The sequence below is a fragment of the Homo sapiens genome, chromosome X (genome assembly GCF_000001405.40).
Source record: "Homo sapiens chromosome X, GRCh38.p14 Primary Assembly".
In the NCBI taxonomy this organism is placed as follows: Eukaryota; Metazoa; Chordata; class Mammalia; order Primates; family Hominidae; genus Homo; species Homo sapiens.
The window spans coordinates 154,137,265-154,159,150 of NC_000023.11; the positions used below are offsets into that span (position 1 = coordinate 154,137,265).

Consider the following 21,886-nt stretch of genomic DNA (forward strand, 5'->3'; position numbering starts at 1 on the left):
TTTCAATTAACATGGCCCATTATGTCTCTCTCCTTCCGCTTACAGTGAAGATCAGGACCATGAAGTGAATTTGAATTTCTTTTCTTTTTTTCTTTTCTTTTCTTTTCTTTTCAAGACAGGGTCTTGCTGTATGGCCCAGGCTGGAGGATCATGGCTCACTGCAGCCTCCACCTCCTGGCCTCCAGCAATCCTCCTGCCTCAGCCTCCTGAGTAGCTGGGACCACAGGTGTGCACCACCACGCCCAGCTAAGTTTTTAAATTTTTGGTAGAGATGGGGTGTCACTATGTTACCCAGGCTGGTCTCCAATACCTGGGCTCAATCGATTCTCCCACTTTAGCCTCCCAAAGTGCTGGGATTACAGTCGTGAGCCATTGGGCCCAGTCACAAATTCCTTATTTTCTTTGTCCTACGATATGAACAACCCAGTTGGAACATAATACGACGTGAGAAGAGAAGCCTGCCATGGGGAGGGGAGCACAGACCCAGCAGGCAGGCTCTCAATGGGAGGTTCAAGGCGAGTCCCCCTCCCACCCACCTGCTCCCAGCTGAGAGTCCATCTGGGCCTCCGGTGGGCAACGACAAAAAATTCCATTAGGTTGAGAAGACGTGACTGGCACTGGCTCAAAGCCAAACAAATACTTGGTGGGCCTGCTTGGAGTTTAGCTCACACTTTTTGATTTTCTATTCACTGAATTTCACTGCTGTAGGAACCTCATATAAATGGAATCAGATAGTTATTTTTTTTTATGACAGGCTTTGGGGGATATATCTTTTTGAAGGCTCTTTATAACTAAACAGTAAATAGTTTAATTACAGTGGAAATTCTCTGGACTAGATTGTAAAGGTGGATCAGATTTGGAAATAAGACTTTTTTCAAGTCAAAGAAGAAAAACCAATTTAAAAATACAAGGCAATGGCCGGGTGCGGTGGCTCACGCCTGTAATCCCAGCACCTTGGGAGGCCAAGGCAGGTGGATCAGCTGAGGTCAGGAATTCGAGACCAGCCTAGCCATCATGGTGAAACCCTGTCTCTACTAAAAATACAAAGAAAAAATTAGCCGGGCATGGTGGTGCATGCCTGTAGTCCCAGCTACTCAGGACACTGAGGCTGAGGAGAATTGCTTGAACCCGGGAGGCAGAGGTTGTAGTGAGCAAAGATCGCGCCACTGCACTCCAGCCTGGGCAACAGAGTGAGACTCCACGTCAAAAAAAAAAAAAAAAAAAGACATGTCAGAAACAAAGAAAGAAAGACATGACAGGCTCAGAATCAATGTCAACCTGGGCAAAGGTCAGAAACGGAACAGGGACCCTTTCTTTGTGGGCAGGTTTGACATGAAAGGTTCAGCGACTTCAACTCTTCTGATTCTTTCTTCTTGAGCCCATTTTGGTAAGTTGTGTTTTCCTAAAAGTTTGTCCATTCCATCCAAATGTTCACATTAGTCAGGATCTGTGAAGGATGTCAATGGCTGTGAGGCGAGGGCCCCTTGCCAGTCCCCATGTTCGTTATTTATGGATGCCTGATGCCCACAACCTCGACTTCTCAGCTGAGGGCAACTCCTCCTGTCCTCTCGCTGCTTCCACCTAAGCCACCAGGAAATCCTGTTGACTCCACTTACAAAAGCTCTCCAGAGTCTGCTACCTCTTACCACCCTACTGTCGCCTCCCAGACCTGGTCTCCCCGCTTCTGCCCTGGCCCCTACAGCTCGCAGACAGCTGCCAGAGGAGTCCATCCGAATCAACTTCAGATTGCGTCACTTTTTCTTTCAAAATCCGACAAAGCTCCTCATTCCATTCAGAGTGAGAAGGGCCCCGCCATGCAGCCTTTCCTCCTCCTATTCACCAACCCCACTCTCGCTCCAGCCATCTTGATATCCTTGCTGGTCCTGGAGCAGGCCAGCCACGCTCTTGCCCCAGGGCCTTTGCACTTGCTGCCCCTCTCCTGTGATGCCCTCCTGGATCTCTGCATGGCTCCCTCCTGCCCTCCCTCCCTCGAGTCTTTGCTCACATGTCCCCTTCTCAGAGGGGCTCACCCTGGTGCCCTTCGAAAGTGGGCATCCACTCCCTTCCCACCCTGGCACCCGCACCCTCCTGTCTTCCTTTTTCTGTTCTCCATCCTACTCATCTCCCCCAACTAGAAAGGCAGCTGCAGCTGCGGAGCACGGGATCTCCATCTGCAGCTGCATCCCGGGACCTAGAACAGGTACAAAAGTACCTAATAAGTACCCACTGAATGAATAATTGGCTGAGTTTTCTGTACCAAAGACTGAGCTAAGACTCTTTAAAAGGATGATCTTATTTAAGCCTTACAGCAAGTAAATGTTATCCCCATCTTCCTGATGAGGACACAGTGACCACCACGCTCAAGGACACAGAGGGTGGACGTGCCACATTCACACTCTGTGACTTAGAGCGGCTGGACGGGCAGGGACTTAGGAGGCCTACAGCAGCCAGGGTGAGATTATGAGGCTGAGCTGAGAATATCAAGACTGTACCGAGTAGGGGGCCTTGGCAAGTGTGGAGAGCCCGGCAGCTGGGGCAGAGGGCGGAGTACGGTGTGCGTTTACGGACCTCTTCAAACGAGGTAGGAAGGTCAGAAGTCAAAAAGGGAACAAATGATGTTTAACCACACAAAAATGAAAATCCAATGGTTGGATATCCATTCCAAATACACAAAGGCAACGGATAAGTGATCCGGGCCAGGCACAGAAGGCCATGCACCCGTAGGATTGCACTCAGAGCTCCCAAATGCATAGGAATAGAAGGGTGGGTGCAGGAGGCTGAGGGGTGGGGAAAGGGCATGGGTGTTTCATGAGGACAGAGCTTCCGTTTCATGCAATGAAAAGAGTTTGGAGACGGATGGTGGTGACTGGACTATACACTTACACACGGTAGCGATGGTACACTTTGTATTATGTATATTTTACCACGATCTTTTTAAAGTGTCAAAGGCAAATGGCCAAATGGTTCCTTGTCCTATAGCTGTAGCAGCCATCGGCTGTTAGTGACAAAGCCCCTGAGTCAAGATGACAGCAGCCCCCATAACTCCTAATCGGCTCTCCCGCGTGGAGTCATTTAGGAGTAGTCGCATTAGAGACAAGTCCAACATCTAATCTTCCACCCTGGCCAGGGCCCCAGCTGGCAGCGAGGGTGGGAGACTCCGGGCAGAGCAGAGGGCGCTGACATTGGGGCCCGGCCTGGCTTGGGTCCCTCTGGCCTTTCCCCAGGGGCCCTCTTTCCTTGGGGCTTTCTTGGGCCGCCACTGCTCCCGCTCCTCTCCCCCCATCCCACCCCCTCACCCCCTCGTTCTTCATATCCTTCTCTAGTGCTCCCTCCACTTTCATCCACCCTTCTGCAAGAGTGTGGGACCACAAATGAGTTTTCACCTGGCCTGGGGACACACGTGCCCCCACAGGTGCTGAGTGACTTTCTAGGACAGTAATCTGCTTTAGGCTAAAATGGGACTTGATCTTCTGTTAGCCCTAATCATCAATTAGCAGAGCCGGTGAAGGTGCAGAACCTACCGCCTTTCCAGGCCTCCTCCCACCTCTGCCACCTCCACTCTCCTTCCTGGGATGTGGGGGCTGGCACACGTGTGGCCCAGGGCATTGGTGGGATTGCACTGAGCTGGGTCATTAGCGTAATCCTGGACAAGGGCAGACAGGGCGAGCGGAGGGCCAGCTCCGGGGCTCAGGCAAGGCTGGGGGCTTCCCCCAGACACCCCACTCCTCCTCTGCTGGACCCCCACTTCATAGGGCACTTCGTGTTCTCAAAGGGCTTCCAAATAGCATGGTGGCCTTGGATGCCCAGGGAAGCCTCAGAGTTGCTTATCTCCCTCTAGACAGAAGGGGAATCTCGGTCAAGAGGGAGAGGTCGCCCTGTTCAAGGCCACCCAGCCAGCTCATGGCGGTAATGGGACAAGGCTGGCCAGCCATCCCACCCTCAGAAGGGACCCGGTGGGGCAGGTGATCTCAGAGGAGGCTCACTTCTGGGTCTCACATTCTTGGATCCTCGGATCCTCTGACTCTGGTGGGGACAGGCAGACCAAGCTCTCTTGGACCCGGGAAGAGGGACCCTTGGAAGTCACTTGGGATTGAGTTCTAGAGTCTTGACACTGTTTCAGCAGATCTATACTTTGAACCCACCTCAGGCATCTCATCCACAGAACAGGGACAGTGACCATTCCATCTTGCCAAGGAGTGCGGGGCACACACCATGCTGCTGGCAGCCAGGGTGGAAAGTCAAGGGGTCCCAGCTGAAGCACTGCCACAGAGGCAGGATGCAGTCCGAGAGGGGACTTCAGAGCAGGGGCCCAAGGCCAAGGCCATCAGGGAGGTCTTTCTGCAGGAGGGACCTCTTTAGGAGTTAGGCCCTAAAAACAAATAAGAGGAAGAAAGGCACTTGGTGGTTTTTAGTCTATTCACGGTGCTGTGCAGCCATCACCACCATCCAGCCGCAGAACTTGTTCATCTTCCCAAACTGAAGCTCTGGCCCCGTTCAACCCCAACTCCCCACCCCCCAGCCCCTGGCACCCACCCTTCCACTGTCTGTCTCTATGGATTTGACCACTCTAGGCCCTTCATATAAGTGGAATTTTACAGTATTTACCCTCCTGTGACTGGCTCATTTCACTGAGCAATGTCCTCAAGGGTCATCCATGTTGGAGCATGTGTCAAACTTCATTTCTTTTTAAGGGTGAATCATATTCCATCGTCTGTATAGACCACAATTTGTGTAGCTAATCATCCGTTGATGTTTGTTGATTTGTTTGTTTGTTTTGAGACAGTCTTGCCATCAGAGCTCACTGCAGGCTCAACCTCCCAGGCTCAAGAAATCCTCCCGCCTCTCTACCTCCCAAGTAGCTGTGACTACAGGCACCTGCGACTGTGCCCTGCTAATTTTTGTATTTTTTGTAGAGACAGGGTCTCACTATGTTGCCCAGGCTAGTCTCGAACTCCTGGGCTCAAGTGATCCTCTCACCTCGGCCTCCCAAAGAACTGGGATTACAGGCATGAGCTACCATGTCCAGCCCAATTGCCCATTGATGGGCACGGGTTGCTTCCATGTTTCAGCTGTTGTGAATCACGCTGCTGTGAACATGCGTGTGCAAACAGCCCTTCCAGACCCTGCCTTCCATTCCTCTGGGCCTATACCCAGCAGTGCGGTTGCTGGGTCCTATGGGAATTCTACGTTTAACTTTTGGAGGAGCTGCCAAACTGTTTTCCACAGTGGCTGCGCCATCACAATCCAATTTTAGGACATTTTTATCACCCATAAAGCACTCCCTGTACCCATTAAGAAGTCATCCTCCATTTCCCTCCCTCCCCTGTCCTGGCACCCATTCCTCTGCTTTGTGTGTCTCTGGATTGCCCTATCTAAGCATTTCACAGAGATGGAGCCATGCGCTCCGTGGTCTTTTGTGTCTGGCTTCGCTCACTGAGCATGCTGTTCTCCAGGTCCATCCACGTTGTAGCGTAGGTCAGCCCTTCATTCCCTGTTATGGCCAAATGATACTCCATTGTACAGACAGGCCACTTTTTACCCACTCATCTGCTTCTGGACTTTTGGGTTGCTTCTACCATGTGGCCTGTTGGGAACAGTGCTCTGTTTGTATTCATGTACGGGTTTTTGTGTGGACACACATTTTCAAGTCTCTTGGGTACACAGGTGTAGAAGTGCCAGAGTTGGGGAAAAAGCTCACCTTTCTAGGCTGTGAATGGGCCCTGGCAAGTCTGTGGCCAGGACTCGTCTTCTCTTCCACATGGGGCCCCTAGCTTGGCACCTAGCACGTGGCAGGCAGCGACAGATGTTAAAAGCCATTCTTGCTATGGGTAGCCAGGCTGGGGCTCCATGCAGCCCTGGCCTTCAGCTTGGCAGCCAGGGCCCCCTTGTGCCTGCAGCAGAAGCCATGCTGCCAGGAGTGTAAGTGTGAGCCAGGAATGCTGGAGAATCGTGGCTCTGAGAACAGGGACAAGAGGCCACAAGCTCACGCCTTGGCTTTCCTAAGCTTAAGGAATAAACCCAAAAGGAGGTACCTGGAAGGAGCTGGATTTGGGGACTGAGGAGCTGGGAGCTGATGGAAGCCGTGAAAGGGGATGTGCTCCTGGGGAGGCGCTGGGGCGGGTGGGCCGTGGAGGGGACAGGGCCCGTTGGTTGGAAACTGAGGCGAGGCTACGGAGTTGGGCACTAACAGGTCATCCGTGCCCCTGCGAAGCGTGGGGACACAGGGACAGCAGAGATGGCCTGTCTGGACACTCTGTCGACGGGGGGCCTGTGGTTGGTGAAGCCCAAGGCAAGGCTGTGAACTCAGGGCAAGGGAGACGTGAGCAGGCGCTGCCGTGGGCTGATGTGGGCACTGCATGTGCACCCTGGCGGCCAAAGGACCTACAGCTCATGGGGGGCAAGGGGGAGGAGGGAAGCCAACAGCAGGATGTGCGCAGTCAGTCTGCCCCCCCTACACTGGAGGAGGAGCCCCCCGGCACAAATCTCGCCCGTTTGGGCCCACGGACATGGCTGGCCTCGCAAGGAGGATCCGGTTCCAGGCCTCGGCCCTAAATAGTCTCCCTGGGCTTTCAAGAGAACCACATGAGAAAGGAGGATTCGGGCTCTGAGCAGTTTCACCACCCACCCCCCAGTCTGCAAATCCTGACCCGTGGGTCCACCTGCCCCAAAGGCGGACGCAGGACAGTAGAAGGGAACAGAGAACACATAAACACAGAGAGGGCCACAGCGGCTCCCACAGTCACCGCCACCTTCCTGGCGGGGATGGGTGGGGCGTCTGAGTTTGGTTCCCAGCAAATCCCTCTGAGCCGCCCTTGCGGGCTCGCCTCAGGAGCAGGGGAGCAAGAGGTGGGAGGAGGAGGTCTAAGTCCCAGGCCCAATTAAGAGATCAGGTAGTGTAGGGTTTGGGAGCTTTTAAGGTGAAGAGGCCCGGGCTGATCCCACAGGCCAGTATAAAGCGCCGTGACCCTCAGGTGATGCGCCAGGGCCGGCTGCCGTCGGGGACAGGGCTTTCCATAGCCATGGCCCAGCAGTGGAGCCTCCAAAGGCTCGCAGGCCGCCATCCGCAGGACAGCTATGAGGACAGCACCCAGTCCAGCATCTTCACCTACACCAACAGCAACTCCACCAGAGGTGAGCCAGCAGGCCCGTGGAGGCTGGGTGGCTGCACTGGGGGCCACCGGCCACCCACCTGCCCCGCCCAAGGGAATCTCTCTTCTGCACGTCCCCACCAGCAGAGAAGGCTTTCTCCCATAGCTTTTCTGATGACATGAATTGGGGGGTCCTCTCCAAATCTAGAAGGACACCATAATATCGAATATGCATTCTCAAGCCACACAGGCTTCCCAGCCCCTTTGAGAATCCGAGGCCGGGGAAGAGTTTATGTGCTCTTTCTTTGTGGCCCGTAGATGAGTGTGTTCACTGCTAGCGAATGACCTCTCATTCCACGGAGTCCCTCAGCTTCCTGGGGAAGAGCTGGGTCTGTCTTTACATTTGAAGCCGAAAGGAGGCAACATACTGACACACCCAAGGGAGGCGGGAGGGTGGGGAAGACAGCAGCAGAGGGCAAGAAACTTCTAGAACTTCAGGGTCGGCAAAGCCTGTAGCAGTCATTTTGTCAAACTCCATGATGGGGCCACTTGGCTTTTGGCTGCACACCTCTGGGGGAAGAGGCTGCATTGGCGCCCAGGGCCATCTTTCCATTCGGAGCCGTCCTGGGAGAGAGGGCTCAGGCCCAACAGAAAGCTGAAAGCTCTCATCAGGGCAGCCCGAGTCCTGCCATTGGGAGTTGCCCAATCCGAAAGTTTTGCACGCAGGCCCTCAAAGAAGCTGAGGACACCAGTGACCGCCCCACTCCTGGCCCTCTCCCCAGGTCCCTCCTCCAAACCAAATTCCTTTGGTGCCTTCAAGAACATCGTGCAGGCCGGGCACAGTGGCTCACGCCTGTAATCCCAGCACTTTGGGAGGCAGAGGCGGGCAGATGACGAGGTCAACAGATAGAGATCATCCTGGCCAACATACTGAAACCTCATGTCTACTAAAAATGCAAAAATTAGCTGGGCTTGGTGGCGCATGCCTGTAGTCCCAGCTACTCAGGAGGCTGAGGCAGGAGAATCGCTTGAACCCGGGAGGTGGAGGTTGCAGTGAGCCGAGATCACGCCACTATGCTCCAGCCTGGCCACAGAGTGAGACTCTTGTCTCAAAACAAAACAAAACAAAAAACAACAACATCGTGCAGGCTGTGGTTTCCAGAAGCCACGCCAGCTCCTTGATTGCCAATAAACATCCCGCTGTGGGGTGGCCAGGACCGAGTGCCAATTAGTGACAGAGTGCCCAGACCAAACCGGATGAGGATCTTGCAGTTGACCTCAACATGACTGTGCCCAGAATTTCCTTGGTGGCAATGTCAACAGTCTCTTCCTAGATGCCCCCAGACTTCATCAATGCATGATGCTTCAGTGCACTCTTTTCAAATGTCGGGGTGGGTTTTTTTTTTTTCCACAAAACTTCAAGCATCTACTAAAGTAGAGGGAGGAGTGTAATGAACTCCGGTACCCATCACTCAGCTTCCACGGTTTCATCTCATTTCATCTGTGACCCCTCCACTACCCTTTCTTCCTGATTCTTGGAAGCAAATCCAAGACATCACACCCTTCCCTCTGTAAATCTTTACTATGTTCCTCTAGGAGAAAAGGGCTCTTCTCAATACATAACCACAAGTCATCATCACACCGACAAGTGTAACAGTATTTCCTGAATAGCTTCAAATATCCTAGTAGTGTTCAAAAAATGTCATACGTATTTTCAGTCTGCTTGAATCAGGGCTCAAATAAGGTCCACACATTCAGATTGACTGATATGCCTTTTGACTACCTTTGAATCTAGAGGTTCCCTTTCTATCTCCCTGCAATTTATTTGTGGAAGCAAGCAAGTCGTTCATGACGTAGCCTAACAGGCCCCTCTGACGTTGTTCATTATGATTTTTCTGTAAATTGGTAGTTGATCTGAGGATCTGGCCAGAGGTAGGTTGGATTTGTTGGTGTGTTTTGGCAAGGAGAGTGTCTCTTTTCTGGGGTGTTGGCAGCTACTGAAACTCAATGCCCAGACCAATTAAACCACTGGGGATGGAAAATGACGGCATTCGGACACCTTACCCTGCCTTCACCTATTGGTGACCAAAACCTTAACATCTTCACAGGTCTTCTTACCCTGAGGGTATATGCCACTAGGTTGTGTAGTAAACCGGTGTGTTTCCAGTCCCTTAGAATAGTCCCTCTCTAAGTGATATGCCACTCAGTGGATATGCATTTAGCTTCATTTCTTTTGTTGCTGATTTTCAGAGATTGCTCTGTAAATTTAAACTTTTATTTTACTTTATTTTATTTTTTCGAGACAGTCTTACTCTGTCGCCCAGGCTGGAGTGCAGTGGCGCGATCTCAGCTCACTGCAACTTCCGCCTCCTCGGTTCGAGCGATTCTCCTGCCTCAGCCTCCCGAGGAGCTGGGACTACAGGTGCCCGCCACCACGCCCAGCTAATTTTTTTTATTTTTAGTAGAGACAGGGTTTCACCATGTTGGCCAGGCTGGTCTCCAACTGCTGACCTCAAGTCGTCCGCCCACCTCGGCTTCCCAAAGTGCTGGGATTACAGGTGTGAGCCACCGCCCCCGGCCACTTAAATTTTGTTTTATAATTATGTAATAAAACAGTTAAAAGTCTCAAATTAAAATCTAGAAAAGAAGGTGTATTTGAAGAAGTCTGGCTTCTCTGCGCCACCACCGACCGCCCCTTCCCTACCTGCCTGTATTTCCTCGAATCACTTTGCCTGGGAGTTGACTTTGATTCTCTTGCTCATTGCTTCATGAAATTCAGTTCCAGAACTTTCAGGAGGGAGGGGTAGGCCATGACACCAGCTCTAGTTACACTGGTGGCAGCTCCTGTCCCCTCCCCCACTGCTGCTGGGACCTGTTCTCTCCTTTGCCCCCTTGTCCCTGCACTGCCCAATTTGGACCGCAAGGGTTGCCAGGGAAGGGCACTGGCTGCCTTGTTTTCAGAGGTCGTAGCACCTAGATTGCTCCAGCCCCTTGCACTTGCCTGCAGGCCAGAGTGTCCCAAACCCTCCCAGTCTCAGCTGCTCTTCCCCAGTTCACCCAAGGTACTTCCCAGGGAAGAGCTGCCGACAGTTTGGGGGTTCTCTGTTCTTAGGTCCATCAGCAACCCCATTGCTCCCCTCTGCTTCCTTCTGCACGGAGACTGACGCCATGCAGGTCTTCAATTGTCAATGGTCTGTCCCTGCTGCTCATACTGGGGGTTCCTGGGGAGCCAGTGCCAGGTATCGGGATTGCAGACATTGTCTGTGGGTTTCCAGAAGCTCCTTGTGTTAGGAACATATGGGGCCCGTGCACAGAGGGCAGCAGAGGCCTTGTGGGATCCAGCTGTGCTAGGGGTGAGATTTATCTGTCTCTCCTGGCCATAGCCAGGAAATCCCCATTTTTCTTAAGCTAGCTTGAGTTGGGCTTTTCTAACACACAGCTAAAGAATCTCTTGATAAACCTTGGGACTCTCCATGAGGCCTTATATGGCAGCAGGTCTGTGGCTTGCAATCCCTTCAAGTAATCTGCCAAAAACAATGTTATGACGAAGGTCCTTCCAACACAAAAGGTGTAGAGCCCTAGCAAACTCCTACAGAAGAAAAAGGAGAAATAATTCGTTTGTAGTCCCAGCTACTTGGGAGGCCAAGGTGGGAGGATCACTTGAAGTCAGGAGTTCGAGACCAGCCTAGGCAACATAGCCAGACCCCATCTCTACAGAAATAAAAAAAATTGCCATTGTGGTAATGCACGGCTTGTAGTCCCAGATACTCGAGAGGCTGAGGCAGGAGGATCGCTTGAGCCCAGGAGGATCGCTTGAGCCCAGGAGTTCCACGTTGCAGTGAGCTATGATTGTGCCACTGTACTCCAGCCTGGGTGCCAGAGCCAGGCTCTATCTCTATTTGGTGTTGTTGTTGTTGCTGTTGTTGTTTTTGAGACGGAGTCTTGTTCTGTCACCCCGGCTGGAGTGCAGTGGCGTGATCTCAGCTCACCGCAACCTCTGCCTCCTGGGTTCAAGTGATTCTCCCGCCTCAGCCTCCTGAGTAGCTGGGACTACAGGCGCCCACCACCATACCTAGCTAATTTTTTTTTCTTTTGTATTTTTAGTAGAGACGGGGTTTCACCATGGCCAGGCTGGTTTTGAACTCCTGACCTCAAGTGATCCACCCCCTCGGCCTCCCAAAGTGCTGGGATTACAGGCGTGAGCCACCGCTCCCAGCCGACTGTATCTCTAAATATATAATAATCATAATCATAATCAGGACAGCCGTCATATTGGATTAGGGCCCACCCTAATGACCTCATTTAAACTTGGTCATTTCTGTAAAGACCCTATCTCCGAAAACGGTCACATTCTGAGGTATTGGGGTTAGGACTCCAACATATGAATTTGGGTGGGGACACAATTCAACTCATAACACATTCATTGATTAATTTCCTCATTCATTTATTTTCTGAGCATCTATTGTGTGCTGGACACTCTGTGAGGATGAATGAGTCAAAGTCTCTGGTGAGAAAGACAAGACTTGTACTTGTGTCTCAGTACTGGCTGCTATAAGAAATTACCAGGCTGTGGCCGGGCGCAGTGGCTCACGCCTGTAATCCCAGCACTTTGGGAGGCCGAGGCAGGCGGATCACGAGGTCAGGAGATTGAGATCATCCTAGCTAACATGGTGAAGCCCCGTCTCTACTAAAAATAGAAAAAATTAGCCAGGCGTGGTGGCGGGCGCCTGTAGTCCCAGCTACTCAGGAGGCTGAAGCGGGAGAATGGCGTGAACCTGGGAGGCGGAGCTTGCAGTGAGCCGAGATCGTGCCACTGCACTCCAGCCTGGGTGACAGAGCAAGACTCCGTCTCAAAAAAAAAGAAAAAAAAAAGAAAAGAAAAATAAATTACCAGGCTGTGCATGGTGGCTCATGCCTGCAATCCCAGTACTTTGGGAGGACAAGGCAGGAGGATCTCTTGAGGTCAGGAGTTTGAGACCAGCCTGGTCAACATGGTGAAACCCCATGTCTACTAAAAGCACAAAAATTAGCTGGGTGTGGTGGTGGGTGCCTGTAAATCCCAGCTACTACTCCGGAGGCTGAGGCAGGAGAATTGCTTGAACCCAGGAGGCGGAGGTTGCAGTGACCCGAGATCACATCACTGCACTCCAGCCTGGGTGACAGAGCAAGACTTTGTCCCAAAAAAAAAAAAAAGAAAAGAAAGAAAGGAAAAGAATAAAAGAGAAATTACCATAGATTGGGTGGCTTTTAAATGATAAATTTATTTCTCACAGCTCTGGAGGCTGGAAGTCAGGGTGCTAGCGTGGTGGGCTCTGGCGAGGACCCTCTTCCTGACTGCAGATTGCCAACAACTCATTGTATCCTCACATGGAAGAAAGAGAGCTAGAGAGCACTCTAGGGACTCTTTTTCTTGTTTGTTTTAATTAAAAAAAAATTTTTTTTACATGGGCATGCCATGTTGCCCAGGTTGGATTTGAACTCCTGGGCTCAAGCAACCCTCCAGCCTCAGCCTCCCAAAGTGCTGGGATTACAGGCATGAGCCACCATTCCCAGCTAATTTGGGCTGTTCCCAAAGGCTCAAGTGATCCTCCCACGTTGGCCTCCTGAGTAGCTGGGGCTACAGGCGTGAGCCACCATGCCCAGCTTCTAGGACCTCTTTTATAAGGGCACTAATCCCATTCATGAGGGCCCCACTCACTCTGCACACATGACCTAAATGACCTGCCAAAGGCCCCACCTCCTAATACCATCACCTTGGGGGTTGGGATTTCAACACAGAAATTTATGGGGGGCACGTACATTCAGATCATCATGAACAGTAACTCCTATGTGTGACAGAAGGTGACAGAGGTGGGTAGTGGTCTTCCCCTCAAGGGGGTGAGTTGCCACTAGCTGGGGAATCTTCTGGAAGGCAAATGCATATGAGCTGGGCTTTACAGGAGGCAAGCGTTTCTCTATGGAAGGGCAGAGGACTGTGGGAGGTAGGAGGTGGGGCTGGGGCAAAGGGAAGAGGGGAGCAGGGAAGTGGGGTGACTGCACACTGGGAGTGGGGAATCAGATGGAGGAGACGATGAGGAGTTCTGTTAAGTTCAAGATGCCAGTGCCAGTGACCAGCGGGCGATGGTCTCTGGCTTGAGGGACAGGATGGAGGGGAGACTGTCTGAGGATGGACAAAGCTGGAGGGAAACAGCCAATTGCAAAGGCAGGAGGGCGGAAGGGGGAGGGGAGAGGTGGGATCAGCACTGGTATAGACAGGCGGTGCTGCAGCCCAGCTCCTCTCTCTCCTCTGCCTCCTGCCCTCAGGCCCCTTCGAAGGCCCGAATTACCACATCGCTCCCAGATGGGTGTACCACCTCACCAGTGTCTGGATGATCTTTGTGGTCACTGCATCCGTCTTCACAAATGGGCTTGTGCTGGCGGCCACCATGAAGTTCAAGAAGCTGCGCCACCCGCTGAACTGGATCCTGGTGAACCTGGCGGTCGCTGACCTAGCAGAGACCGTCATCGCCAGCACTATCAGCATTGTGAACCAGGTCTCTGGCTACTTCGTGCTGGGCCACCCTATGTGTGTCCTGGAGGGCTACACCGTCTCCCTGTGTGGTAAGCCAGTCGGGGCCCAGGCTCGGCGGAAACCACTCATTCACCCTGCAAGCTCCTCCAGCCACCTCATGATGATCGGGGCCCAGCTGCTCCTGTAGGCCTGTCTCCCTCCCCATCTGCGCCTCACATCCATATACTGAAGGGTTCTGGAGGCTTCCATCTGAACACTCACATTAAATTCAGCTCCCTTGAGTCAAACATACCCTGAGTTCCTACTCTTGAGTCAGGCTCTGCCCGGGGACAGCCAGTTTGGAGCTGTGGGGCTGGTGTGGGAGGAGACAGATACAGAGCTAGACAACCCCAGAACAGTAGGGGGGCGGGGACTCTGGGCACCCTGGACAGAACTCCCCTGCAATTAGGGATGCCTGCTCTTTCAGCTCGCCAGCATCTGCTTTTCCCGGAGGAGACACAATTCCCAGATCCTCTCCCCATCCCCATCACTAATATCTCTGTGGGCCACTATTCCGCTCAGGTCAGGAGACAGTGGCCGAGAGGTACTAGCGTGCCAGGCTCTGTGCTAAGGAGGGGGCCCTATAGCCAGACGGCAACCACACAGTACCATCATCAGTCCTCTCAGACAAGAAGGGGCCTGGGGCAGGTGGTGGAGGAGCGGCTGGGAGCAGTTTGTGGTTCGAGTGGATAGAGTACCACCAAGCAGCCGTGGCTGCTGGACACGAGGTGGGCAGGCCCAGGTCTCAGAGGCCTCAGACGTCATGCCCAGGAGCTGGGACTTTCTTTCAGGAGGAGGAGACCCCACATCCAGCAGCAGCAGCTCCTGCTCTTGCCTCCCCACCACTCTTAGCAGCCTCCCCAACCCCACCCCGTTAACTGCCTCAAATTGTACCCACGATGGCCCAGACCAGAGAGGGTGCTTGTCCAAGTCCCGGCACTACCCCGATAGTGTAGAAGGGGAGCCAAGGGAAGGTCAGGCAGAGAAGGTCCATCCCCAGGTCCGAGTGCTCTCTGCAGCAGGCATGGCCTCGGTGGTCACACGACCCTTCCCGAGTGCCCCCCTGCATCTCCGCCCACGTCTGTCTCCGTTTCTGCCATGGTCTCCCGCTCACCCTTGCCTCTGCTCATGGTCTGTTCTTGGGTCAGTCAGGTGCCAAGCAGCCAGCACTTCCCCACCACTTTTGGTCCACGGATGCCCTTGGCCATCTGGGAAGCCTGTGGACCCCATCTCAGGAGAATTTTTGCAAACGCATAAAATGAGACCCATAGGATTACAAAGGCAGCAAATTATACTGAAATACAGTTATCAAAGTATTAAACATTCATCAGTAACATAGTCTTTAGTTAAAAGCATTTACTGGCCAGGCTCATACCTGTAATCCCAGCACTTTGGGAGGCTGAGGTGGGAGGACTGCTTGCCTCCAAGAGTTTGAGACCAGCCTGGGCAACATAGTGAGACCTCTTCTCTACAACAAATAAAAACAGCTGGGCGTGGTGGCACACCAGTAGTCCCAGCTACTCAGGAGGCTCAGGCGGGAGGATCGCTTGAGCTCTGGAGGTCAAGGCTGCAGTGAGCTATGATGGCACCACTGCACTCAGCCTGGGCAACAGAGTGAGATTCTGTCTCAAAAAGTAAATAAAAATAAAAGCATGTGTTAAACGTATTAGTGACACCACTCAGTATTAAGGTATTAAATAACAGGATCCCGCCTGACAACCACTGTTATTTCAGAGTAGTGATGAACATAAGTGGTATTCGAACTCTCTGCCACCTCTATGAATTGACAGGAAAACATCTGTGACCTCTCTTGCTGACCGAGTCACGGGTACTGCTAATACTGCCACGTTCATAATGGAAGGAAATGCCCAGTGTCTGTTCGAGGTTGGTGGAAAGAAAGATGTCGTTTTTTCCACCTCAGTCCGTGGAGCCCTGAATTCTGTGTGCAGACGTTTGGGGTCTAAGCAGGACAGTGGGAAGCTTTGCTTCCCACCTTTGCTTTGGCTCAAAGCCCTCATCTGTCTGCTCTCCCCATAGGGATCACAGGTCTCTGGTCTCTGGCCATCATTTCCTGGGAGAGATGGATGGTGGTCTGCAAGCCCTTTGGCAATGTGAGATTTGATGCCAAGCTGGCCATCGTGGGCATTGCCTTCTCCTGGATCTGGGCTGCTGTGTGGACAGCCCCGCCCATCTTTGGTTGGAGCAGGTAAGGGTGCGAGGACGCAAGATGGAGTGGGCAGGGTCAGACTCTGTGACCTTAAGGCAAATCACTTCCTTTCTCTGGGCCCCTCTGAGCGTGCAATGTCTATCAATGTATGAATGTGGCTGCAACATAGGAAAGGCTCTGTGGTCCCCGAACCTCTGGAAACATATTTATCCCAAGCACGATCAGGTCACAGGCGCACACGGAGCTCAGGCCATCAGCACAGCTGTCAGTGAACGCATAGCGTGTTTGCATTCCAGGTCTCTTTCTTGCACACGCTGCCGCACCACGCCCCCCACCTTTCAGAGGCTGCTTGGGTCATAGATCCACCTGGGCCTACAGAGCACATGTCCTGGCCAGGCCAAGCAAGTGGCTCAAATGTTTGATTGGAGTGGACTGGGTGGGACAGCATTTCACTGTTTTATCGACAAGCTCGTGAATAAGTTCTCGTGGTGTTTGGAGAGGGAATGTTCTTTCCTCGAGAACGTTCCACAATTCTAGGAAACAAACCTTGTGGAAGCCTGTCTCTGTCTCCCGCCCTCCTCATGCCGCCATGCCCCACACAGCTGCCCGTTATCAAACATGTGTGGTGAGCTGACCCTGGTGGAGGCTCTCCCGCGGGTTATCTCATTTAATCCTCCAGGCCACTAAGTGAGCAGGGCCCTTTATTTCAGTCATGGCCTAGCTGACCTCAGATAAAAGACTCAGCTCTTCATGGGTGTTCTCAGAAGGTCAGGGCAAGAAGGAACCTCACAATCCCTTTGTAAAGAAGGGGAGTGATTGGGAAGATGAAAATGTCCTGGAAGCAGATAGTGGAGATGGTTGCACAGCATTGTGAATGTACCAAAGGTCACAATGGTACTTTTTTCTTTTTTTGAGACAGGGTCTCACTCTGTCACTCAGGCTGGCACAGTGCAGTGGTGTAATTATGGCTCACTGCAGCCTCCACCTCCTGGGCTCAAGTGATCCTCCTACCTCAGCCTCCTGAGGAGCTGGGCCTACAGATGCACCACTTCACCTAGCTAATTTTTTTTATTTTTTGTAGAGACAAGATCTCACTGTGTTCCAGGCTAGTCTTGAACTCCTGGGCTCGAGCAATCCTCCTACCTCTGCCTCCAAATGTGCTGGGACTATAGGCGTGAGCCATTGTGCCTGGCCTATAATGGTACATTTTATGTTATGTGTATTTTACCACAATTCAAAAAGAAGAAAGGCATGACATCTAAAAATGGACAAGGATTAACCAAAATCCTACCCAACGGTTTTGTTTTGGGTTGATGAAAATGTTCTGGAAGCAGAGGTGGTGACTGCCACAGAATTGATCACTTCAAATTGGGTAATCTCATGCAACATGAATTTCACCTCAATTTAAAAAAACAAACCCCACCCGAGTTAGCACCGTGCCTGGGCCGGGGGTCCTGGGTCACCCCACCCTGCATCAGGACTGGCTGCCGGCCCTTCTCTCCAGGTACTGGCCCCACGGCCTGAAGACTTCATGCGGCCCAGACGTGTTCAGCGGCAGCTCGTACCCCGGGGTGCAGTCTTACATGATTGTCCTCATGGTCACCTGCTGCATCATCCCACTCGCTATCATCATGCTCTGCTACCTCCAAGTGTGGCTGGCCATCCGAGCGGTAAGCCCCCCGATTCCTCCTGGCCTCACCCGCCTCCTGCCCCTAAGCTGCTCTGCCCTCAAATGAGTCCACTGAGACTCCTAAACTATTTTTCCAAAAATCCTTAGAGAAGAGGATTTTACCCCTATAAGAAAATATTAAGATCCAGCGATGAGAATCAGGTGATTCCTTTGGGACTGTACCAGTGGCTGCAGGTTCAGCCCCAGCCCCGTTGTCCTCAGCTCTGTGAGACGGGAAAGCACTGCCACTCCCTCCCTGGAGGAGTCCACTAAGGGAACAGAGGTGTGCCTTGCCCCGACCCTGGACAGTTCTCCCCGGGGTGGAAAGGCTGCCTTTCCCACAGAGTAGAGTGGAGCAGCCACATCAGCAAATGACACCTGCAAATCAAGGCGTGTTTTTATGAGGCTGCCACCGGAGTACCCTTGTCCTTTTCATAGGCTGTGGGGCCGACCAAGGAGTGGACCCGAGAGTGCCATTTGCCCCCCTGACCCACTCTCCACCTCCATGTCTGGCCCTCTGCCCTGGGAAGCTGATCCTGTCCACAGCCGTCACCCCCCACCCCTAGACTAGGCTACCACTGGGAGCCCTTCAGGAAGTCAGAGCAAGGGAGGAGAGCCAGGCTGGTTCTTTTCTGTTAGCAGTGGGAGCCCTTTCAGGGTGCTGGCTTTCCTATATGAAGCTGCCTGTGCCCACAATTGGATGGGCATGCCTGCCAAGCTCTCTCTAGAGGAGTCTGTGAGCCTGTGAAAGGCCCCCTCACCCCGTCACCTTGGGGTGAAGGCTCCCACAGGTACCCAACCATGGCTTCGGCTGTATTAGTCTGGGATGGTAGAGCCCCAGCTCCACAATGTGGCCCCAGCTCTGCTGTCTCAGCCATCCCTGCATTCCAGCCCTCACACTCCCTCTCTCATCCCCACTCATCTGCCTGCCGCCAGTCCCTCATCCCTGGCAGGTGGTGGCTGGCCTCTGGCCTCCCCCACAGTGCCTCTGCCTGGAGGCCATTCGTCTCCTTCCTCCCAGCAGGCATGAAGGAGCCACCCCACCAAAGCTGCCCTCAGCTGCCTCACCGTGAGTCCAGGGCAGGATTTAGTCCACAGAGTGGCCAACCTGGCCTAGGAAGCCTGAGGGAAGTGTATGCATTGCTCTGACACTCCCATCGCGCACCCCGCCAGCCACTGCTTTTGCCTCCCCCGCCATCTCCACCTTGTTAACTCCTTCATTCTCCACGCCCAGTCATCAATCAAATCAGGCCTCCATGCTCAGGCCTGAGCGCAGGACAGGACAGTCTGTTAAGGGATCAGGTGAAGCAAAGGAGCTTGTTAGATCCAGCTCTGGGGTCATCTTAGGCCACACCTAGCTGCATGCCACCTCCAATTCTAGAACTCCCCCAGGGCCAGCCTGAGGCAGCCATGTCTGCCTGGGGCCGGCTGTGCTCCACTCAGGGCTGGAAGATGGCTGCTGGGCTCCTCTCCTCCTCCCCACAACTCCCTATGCCTGGGTCACCTGCCTCTTGCTGCCCTCCAACCCCCGACTCACTATCCCTGTCTCCCTTAGGTGGCAAAGCAGCAGAAAGAGTCTGAATCCACCCAGAAGGCAGAGAAGGAAGTGACGCGCATGGTGGTGGTGATGATCTTTGCGTACTGCGTCTGCTGGGGACCCTACACCTTCTTCGCATGCTTTGCTGCTGCCAACCCTGGTTACGCCTTCCACCCTTTGATGGCTGCCCTGCCGGCCTACTTTGCCAAAAGTGCCACTATCTACAACCCCGTTATCTATGTCTTTATGAACCGGCAGGTAAGCAACACCATCAGCAGATCCCACTCAAAATACCGTGTGCCCTAGAAGGGTGCAGTGATGGCCCCACCTGGAATCATGTCTCTGATAAGAAGCCCGCGGAGCATCTGGGGGACCCTCCAGGGAAATGACCGGGAAAGGCTCAGCGTGTGACCCAGCCCCAGCCAGAGCTCCAGCTGGCCCTTAGCAGAAGGCTTAGGTGTGCCCTCTGGAATCCTTTATAGTCTCGGCCTGAGGGTGGCATTTCCCAAAGCGTCTGTGTGCCGTGCGCTCTTCCCTTCCGGTGGCCCTAGAACTATGGCTGCCGAGCTTCAGGGGCTCTCCTGGCGTTCAGACGCTCTAGGAGTTGGTGAGCCCTAGGTACATCCACCCTAGGTGTGCCCCTCTTCTGTTCAGACTCGACCCTTCTCAACCTTCATCTCTCCATTTTCAAACCGTAACCTCTGGAATTTGTCTTCCTATAAGAACAAAAGCCGGCCCTCCTTGGCTACACTGACCAAGAGTTCAAGAGCTTTCACGAGTTCGTGGGTTAGTTCAGGGGGGACGTGCTGTGGTCCTGCCCAGAGGCAGCCTCCTTAGCTGGCATATTGGGCCTCAGCAGCAAGCTGCTCACACACCTAAATCCCCCCACCTCCTGCAGGTTACAGGCTTCATTAAAGCGCAGCTGTGATGTGACTTGATGGTGGCCAGAAAGGTGTGCAGAGGCCTCCCATTTCACCAGGCCCAGTCCATCCCTTCCACTGGGCTCTTCCTTGCTTCTCCATCTTAGAGCCACTCAATGGCTCCAGCCCCTTTGGCTCAGCTTTGACTCACACAAGCCAAGTCTGCAGAGTTCATTAAGGGTTCATTCTCTCTGGTAACTTTTAAACAGTAAGTAGGACCAGGCCTGCAGTGGATTTCCGGGAACTCGCTGTAGCACACTGATGCCCAGAGTGTAGTTCTATCCCTGACCCCTGTTTCCTGACTTTCATGAGGATCTTTTTTAGGTTTCTGGAATCCTAAACTATCTTGCCAAGTACTGTCTTTACTGGATTATTTCCATTCTCCTTTCCAGAACTCCCCCTGGACAGGGGGAGACAGATGTCTGCACTTCTGGACCTCACCAGGCCTCGAACTTTGCTTTTACCCTTTCCACATAATTATCCTGTCCTGCCACATTCTGAGAGAATTTTCTGGAACGCAGTTCCATGAAGACAGCAAATTTTGCTCAGGACAGAGTCTGGCACACAGTGGGTGCTCAAGCAGCAGCTGCTGAATGGATTCCTCAGCCCTATCTCCCAGCTCTTCAGCCGAGCTGATTCTGCTGTTTGTCCCGTTTCTTATGTTATTAATTTCAACCATTATATTTTTTATTTTTGAGAGTTTTGATGATAGAGGGAGTTAGAGCTAGTCAAGAGTAGGCCTGAAATATTTAGAAAATGCCTTTGGTCTGGGTCCTCAAAGCATTGTGGTTACTTCAGGGATGACACAGGACATGATTTGAGACATTCATATGGCCCAGATCTCTTTGGGGTGAAGCAGCAAAGACAGACCCCTCCTGGTACCGGAAGACGCTTGGCTGGAGAGATGAGGTAGGGGCTAGATTGTCATTACCTAGGCCTCACCTTGCCCCAGATCCATGGACTGGAAAAAACATGACAACCACATGCCTTTTCATTAATATTCCTCCGAGCCGCTCACCAGACAGTCTGGGGACAGGTCACCACTGCCCCTTAGCTGTCACTGTGGATGAGTGTCATGGGGCTGCCGTCACAAACTACCACAAACTCAGTGGCTTCAAACCACAGAAATGGATTCTCTCAGGGTTCTGGAAATCTTGAGTCTGAAATCAGGGTGTTGGCAAATGGAAAGGTTCCCTATGGAGGCCGGGAGGGAGAAGCAGCTGCAGGGCTGCCGGCAGTCTTTGGCGTTCCTTGACTCCAAGGTGTGTCACCCCAGTCTCTGCCTTCATCTTCACGTGGCCTTCTTCCCTCTGTCTGCGTGTCCGTGTCCAAGCGTTCCTTTTCTTATCAGGACACCAGTCATTCGATTAGGGCCCACCCTGCTCCAGTGTGACCTCATCTTAACCTGAACACATCTTTTGGGGGACCCACTTCAACCCAGTGTAGTCACCATCAACTGCTAAGTCAGATGACATCCCCGCGTGTGAGGGAGAAATAATCCAAGCCTTCCTCCATCCCCCATGGGATTCGGAATGGGTGAAGGGAAGGCTCGGGCACGTACATTCAGCACAGTGCTCCACCCTTCCCTGCTCTGCTCAATAACGCTTTCTGTCCTTCCAGTTTCGAAACTGCATCTTGCAGCTTTTCGGGAAGAAGGTTGACGATGGCTCTGAACTCTCCAGCGCCTCCAAAACGGAGGTCTCATCTGTGTCCTCGGTATCGCCTGCATGAGGTCTGCCTCCTACCCATCCCGCCCACCGGGGCTTTGGCCACCTCTCCTTTCCCCCTCCTTCTCCATCCCTGTAAAATAAATGTAATTTATCTTTGCCAAAACCAACAAAGTCACAGAGGCTTTCACTGCAGTGTGGGACCACCTGAGCCTCTGCGTGTGCAGGCACTGGGTCTCGAGAGGGTGCAAGGGGGATAAAGAGGAGAGAGCGCTTCATAGACTTTAA

General features: G+C 52.8%; 1 protein-coding gene across 1 annotated transcript, besides 15 other annotated features; it reads left to right on the forward strand.

Moving 5' to 3' along the window:
* Positions 463-7,022: a locus control region, noted in NCBI's record as "6.5 kb full-length fragment from pR6.5lacZ construct". NCBI's record gives its function as "cone cell-specific and mutually exclusive expression of the red and green cone pigment genes" and the evidence as "EXISTENCE:transgenic organism evidence [ECO:0001131][PMID:1524826]".
* Positions 1,440-3,892: a transcriptional cis regulatory region, noted in NCBI's record as "HS106 blue cone monochromat deletion". NCBI's record gives its function as "necessary for expression of the red and green cone pigment genes" and the evidence as "EXISTENCE:mutant phenotype evidence [ECO:0000015][PMID:2788922]".
* Positions 2,447-4,011: a locus control region, noted in NCBI's record as "1.6 kb fragment from pR2.1lacZ construct". NCBI's record gives its function as "cone cell-specific and mutually exclusive expression of the red and green cone pigment genes" and the evidence as "EXISTENCE:transgenic organism evidence [ECO:0001131][PMID:1524826, PMID:11773636, PMID:10220452]".
* Positions 3,298-3,888: a transcriptional cis regulatory region, noted in NCBI's record as "0.6 kb core LCR region deleted in the pR5.9lacZ construct; identical to the HS102 blue cone monochromat deletion". NCBI's record gives its function as "necessary for expression of the red and green cone pigment genes" and the evidence as "EXISTENCE:mutant phenotype evidence [ECO:0000015][PMID:2788922]" and "EXISTENCE:transgenic organism evidence [ECO:0001131][PMID:1524826]".
* Positions 3,420-3,494: a conserved region, noted in NCBI's record as "conserved region; LCR region that is highly conserved among mammalian species; includes putative binding sites for CRX and GTF2IRD1". NCBI's record gives the evidence for it as "EXISTENCE:sequence alignment evidence [ECO:0000200][PMID:25392503]".
* Positions 3,460-3,495: a protein binding site, noted in NCBI's record as "PAX6 binding to 37 bp LCR core fragment". NCBI's record gives the evidence for it as "EXISTENCE:yeast one-hybrid evidence [ECO:0000066][PMID:10903837]".
* Positions 3,460-3,495: a protein binding site, noted in NCBI's record as "RX/RAX binding to 37 bp LCR core fragment". NCBI's record gives the evidence for it as "EXISTENCE:yeast one-hybrid evidence [ECO:0000066][PMID:10903837]".
* Positions 3,460-3,495: a protein binding site, noted in NCBI's record as "RINX binding to 37 bp LCR core fragment". NCBI's record gives the evidence for it as "EXISTENCE:yeast one-hybrid evidence [ECO:0000066][PMID:10903837]".
* Positions 3,460-3,495: a protein binding site, noted in NCBI's record as "CHX10 binding to 37 bp LCR core fragment". NCBI's record gives the evidence for it as "EXISTENCE:yeast one-hybrid evidence [ECO:0000066][PMID:10903837]".
* Positions 6,789-6,849: a transcriptional cis regulatory region, noted in NCBI's record as "-190 to -130 negative regulatory region". NCBI's record gives its function as "negative regulatory element in OPN1LW proximal promoter" and the evidence as "EXISTENCE:reporter gene assay evidence [ECO:0000049][PMID:9579468]".
* Positions 6,789-7,022: a promoter, noted in NCBI's record as "-190 to +41 proximal promoter fragment". NCBI's record gives its function as "promoter for OPN1LW cone pigment gene" and the evidence as "EXISTENCE:reporter gene assay evidence [ECO:0000049][PMID:9579468]".
* Positions 6,849-6,866: a transcriptional cis regulatory region, noted in NCBI's record as "-130 to -113 positive regulatory region". NCBI's record gives its function as "positive regulatory element in OPN1LW proximal promoter" and the evidence as "EXISTENCE:reporter gene assay evidence [ECO:0000049][PMID:9579468]".
* Positions 6,866-6,883: a transcriptional cis regulatory region, noted in NCBI's record as "-113 to -96 negative regulatory region". NCBI's record gives its function as "negative regulatory element in OPN1LW proximal promoter" and the evidence as "EXISTENCE:reporter gene assay evidence [ECO:0000049][PMID:9579468]".
* Positions 6,883-6,956: a transcriptional cis regulatory region, noted in NCBI's record as "-96 to -23 positive regulatory region". NCBI's record gives its function as "positive regulatory element in OPN1LW proximal promoter" and the evidence as "EXISTENCE:reporter gene assay evidence [ECO:0000049][PMID:9579468]".
* Positions 6,950-6,955: a TATA box, noted in NCBI's record as "OPN1LW promoter putative TATA box". NCBI's record gives the evidence for it as "EXISTENCE:motif similarity evidence [ECO:0000028][PMID:9579468]".
* OPN1LW (opsin 1, long wave sensitive) lies at positions 6,979-21,768 on the forward strand. Its single transcript, NM_020061.6, has 6 exons — positions 6,979-7,131; positions 13,392-13,688; positions 15,676-15,844; positions 17,310-17,475; positions 19,030-19,269; positions 21,552-21,768. Exons 1-6 carry the CDS (start codon positions 7,020-7,022, stop codon positions 21,660-21,662), a joined length of 1,095 nt encoding a protein of 364 aa, NP_064445.2. The 5' UTR covers positions 6,979-7,019; the 3' UTR covers positions 21,663-21,768.

Coding starts and splice junctions, on each gene's coding strand:
- OPN1LW (NM_020061.6), top strand. CDS start 7,020: ATGGCCCAGCAGTGGAGCCTCCAAAGGCTCGCAGGCCGCCATCCGCAG. Junction 13,689..15,675: donor CTACACCGTCTCCCTGTGTG/GTAAGCCAGTCG, acceptor CTCTCCCCATAG/GGATCACAGGTCTCTGGTCT. Junction 19,270..21,551: donor ATGTCTTTATGAACCGGCAG/GTAAGCAACACC, acceptor CTGTCCTTCCAG/TTTCGAAACTGCATCTTGCA.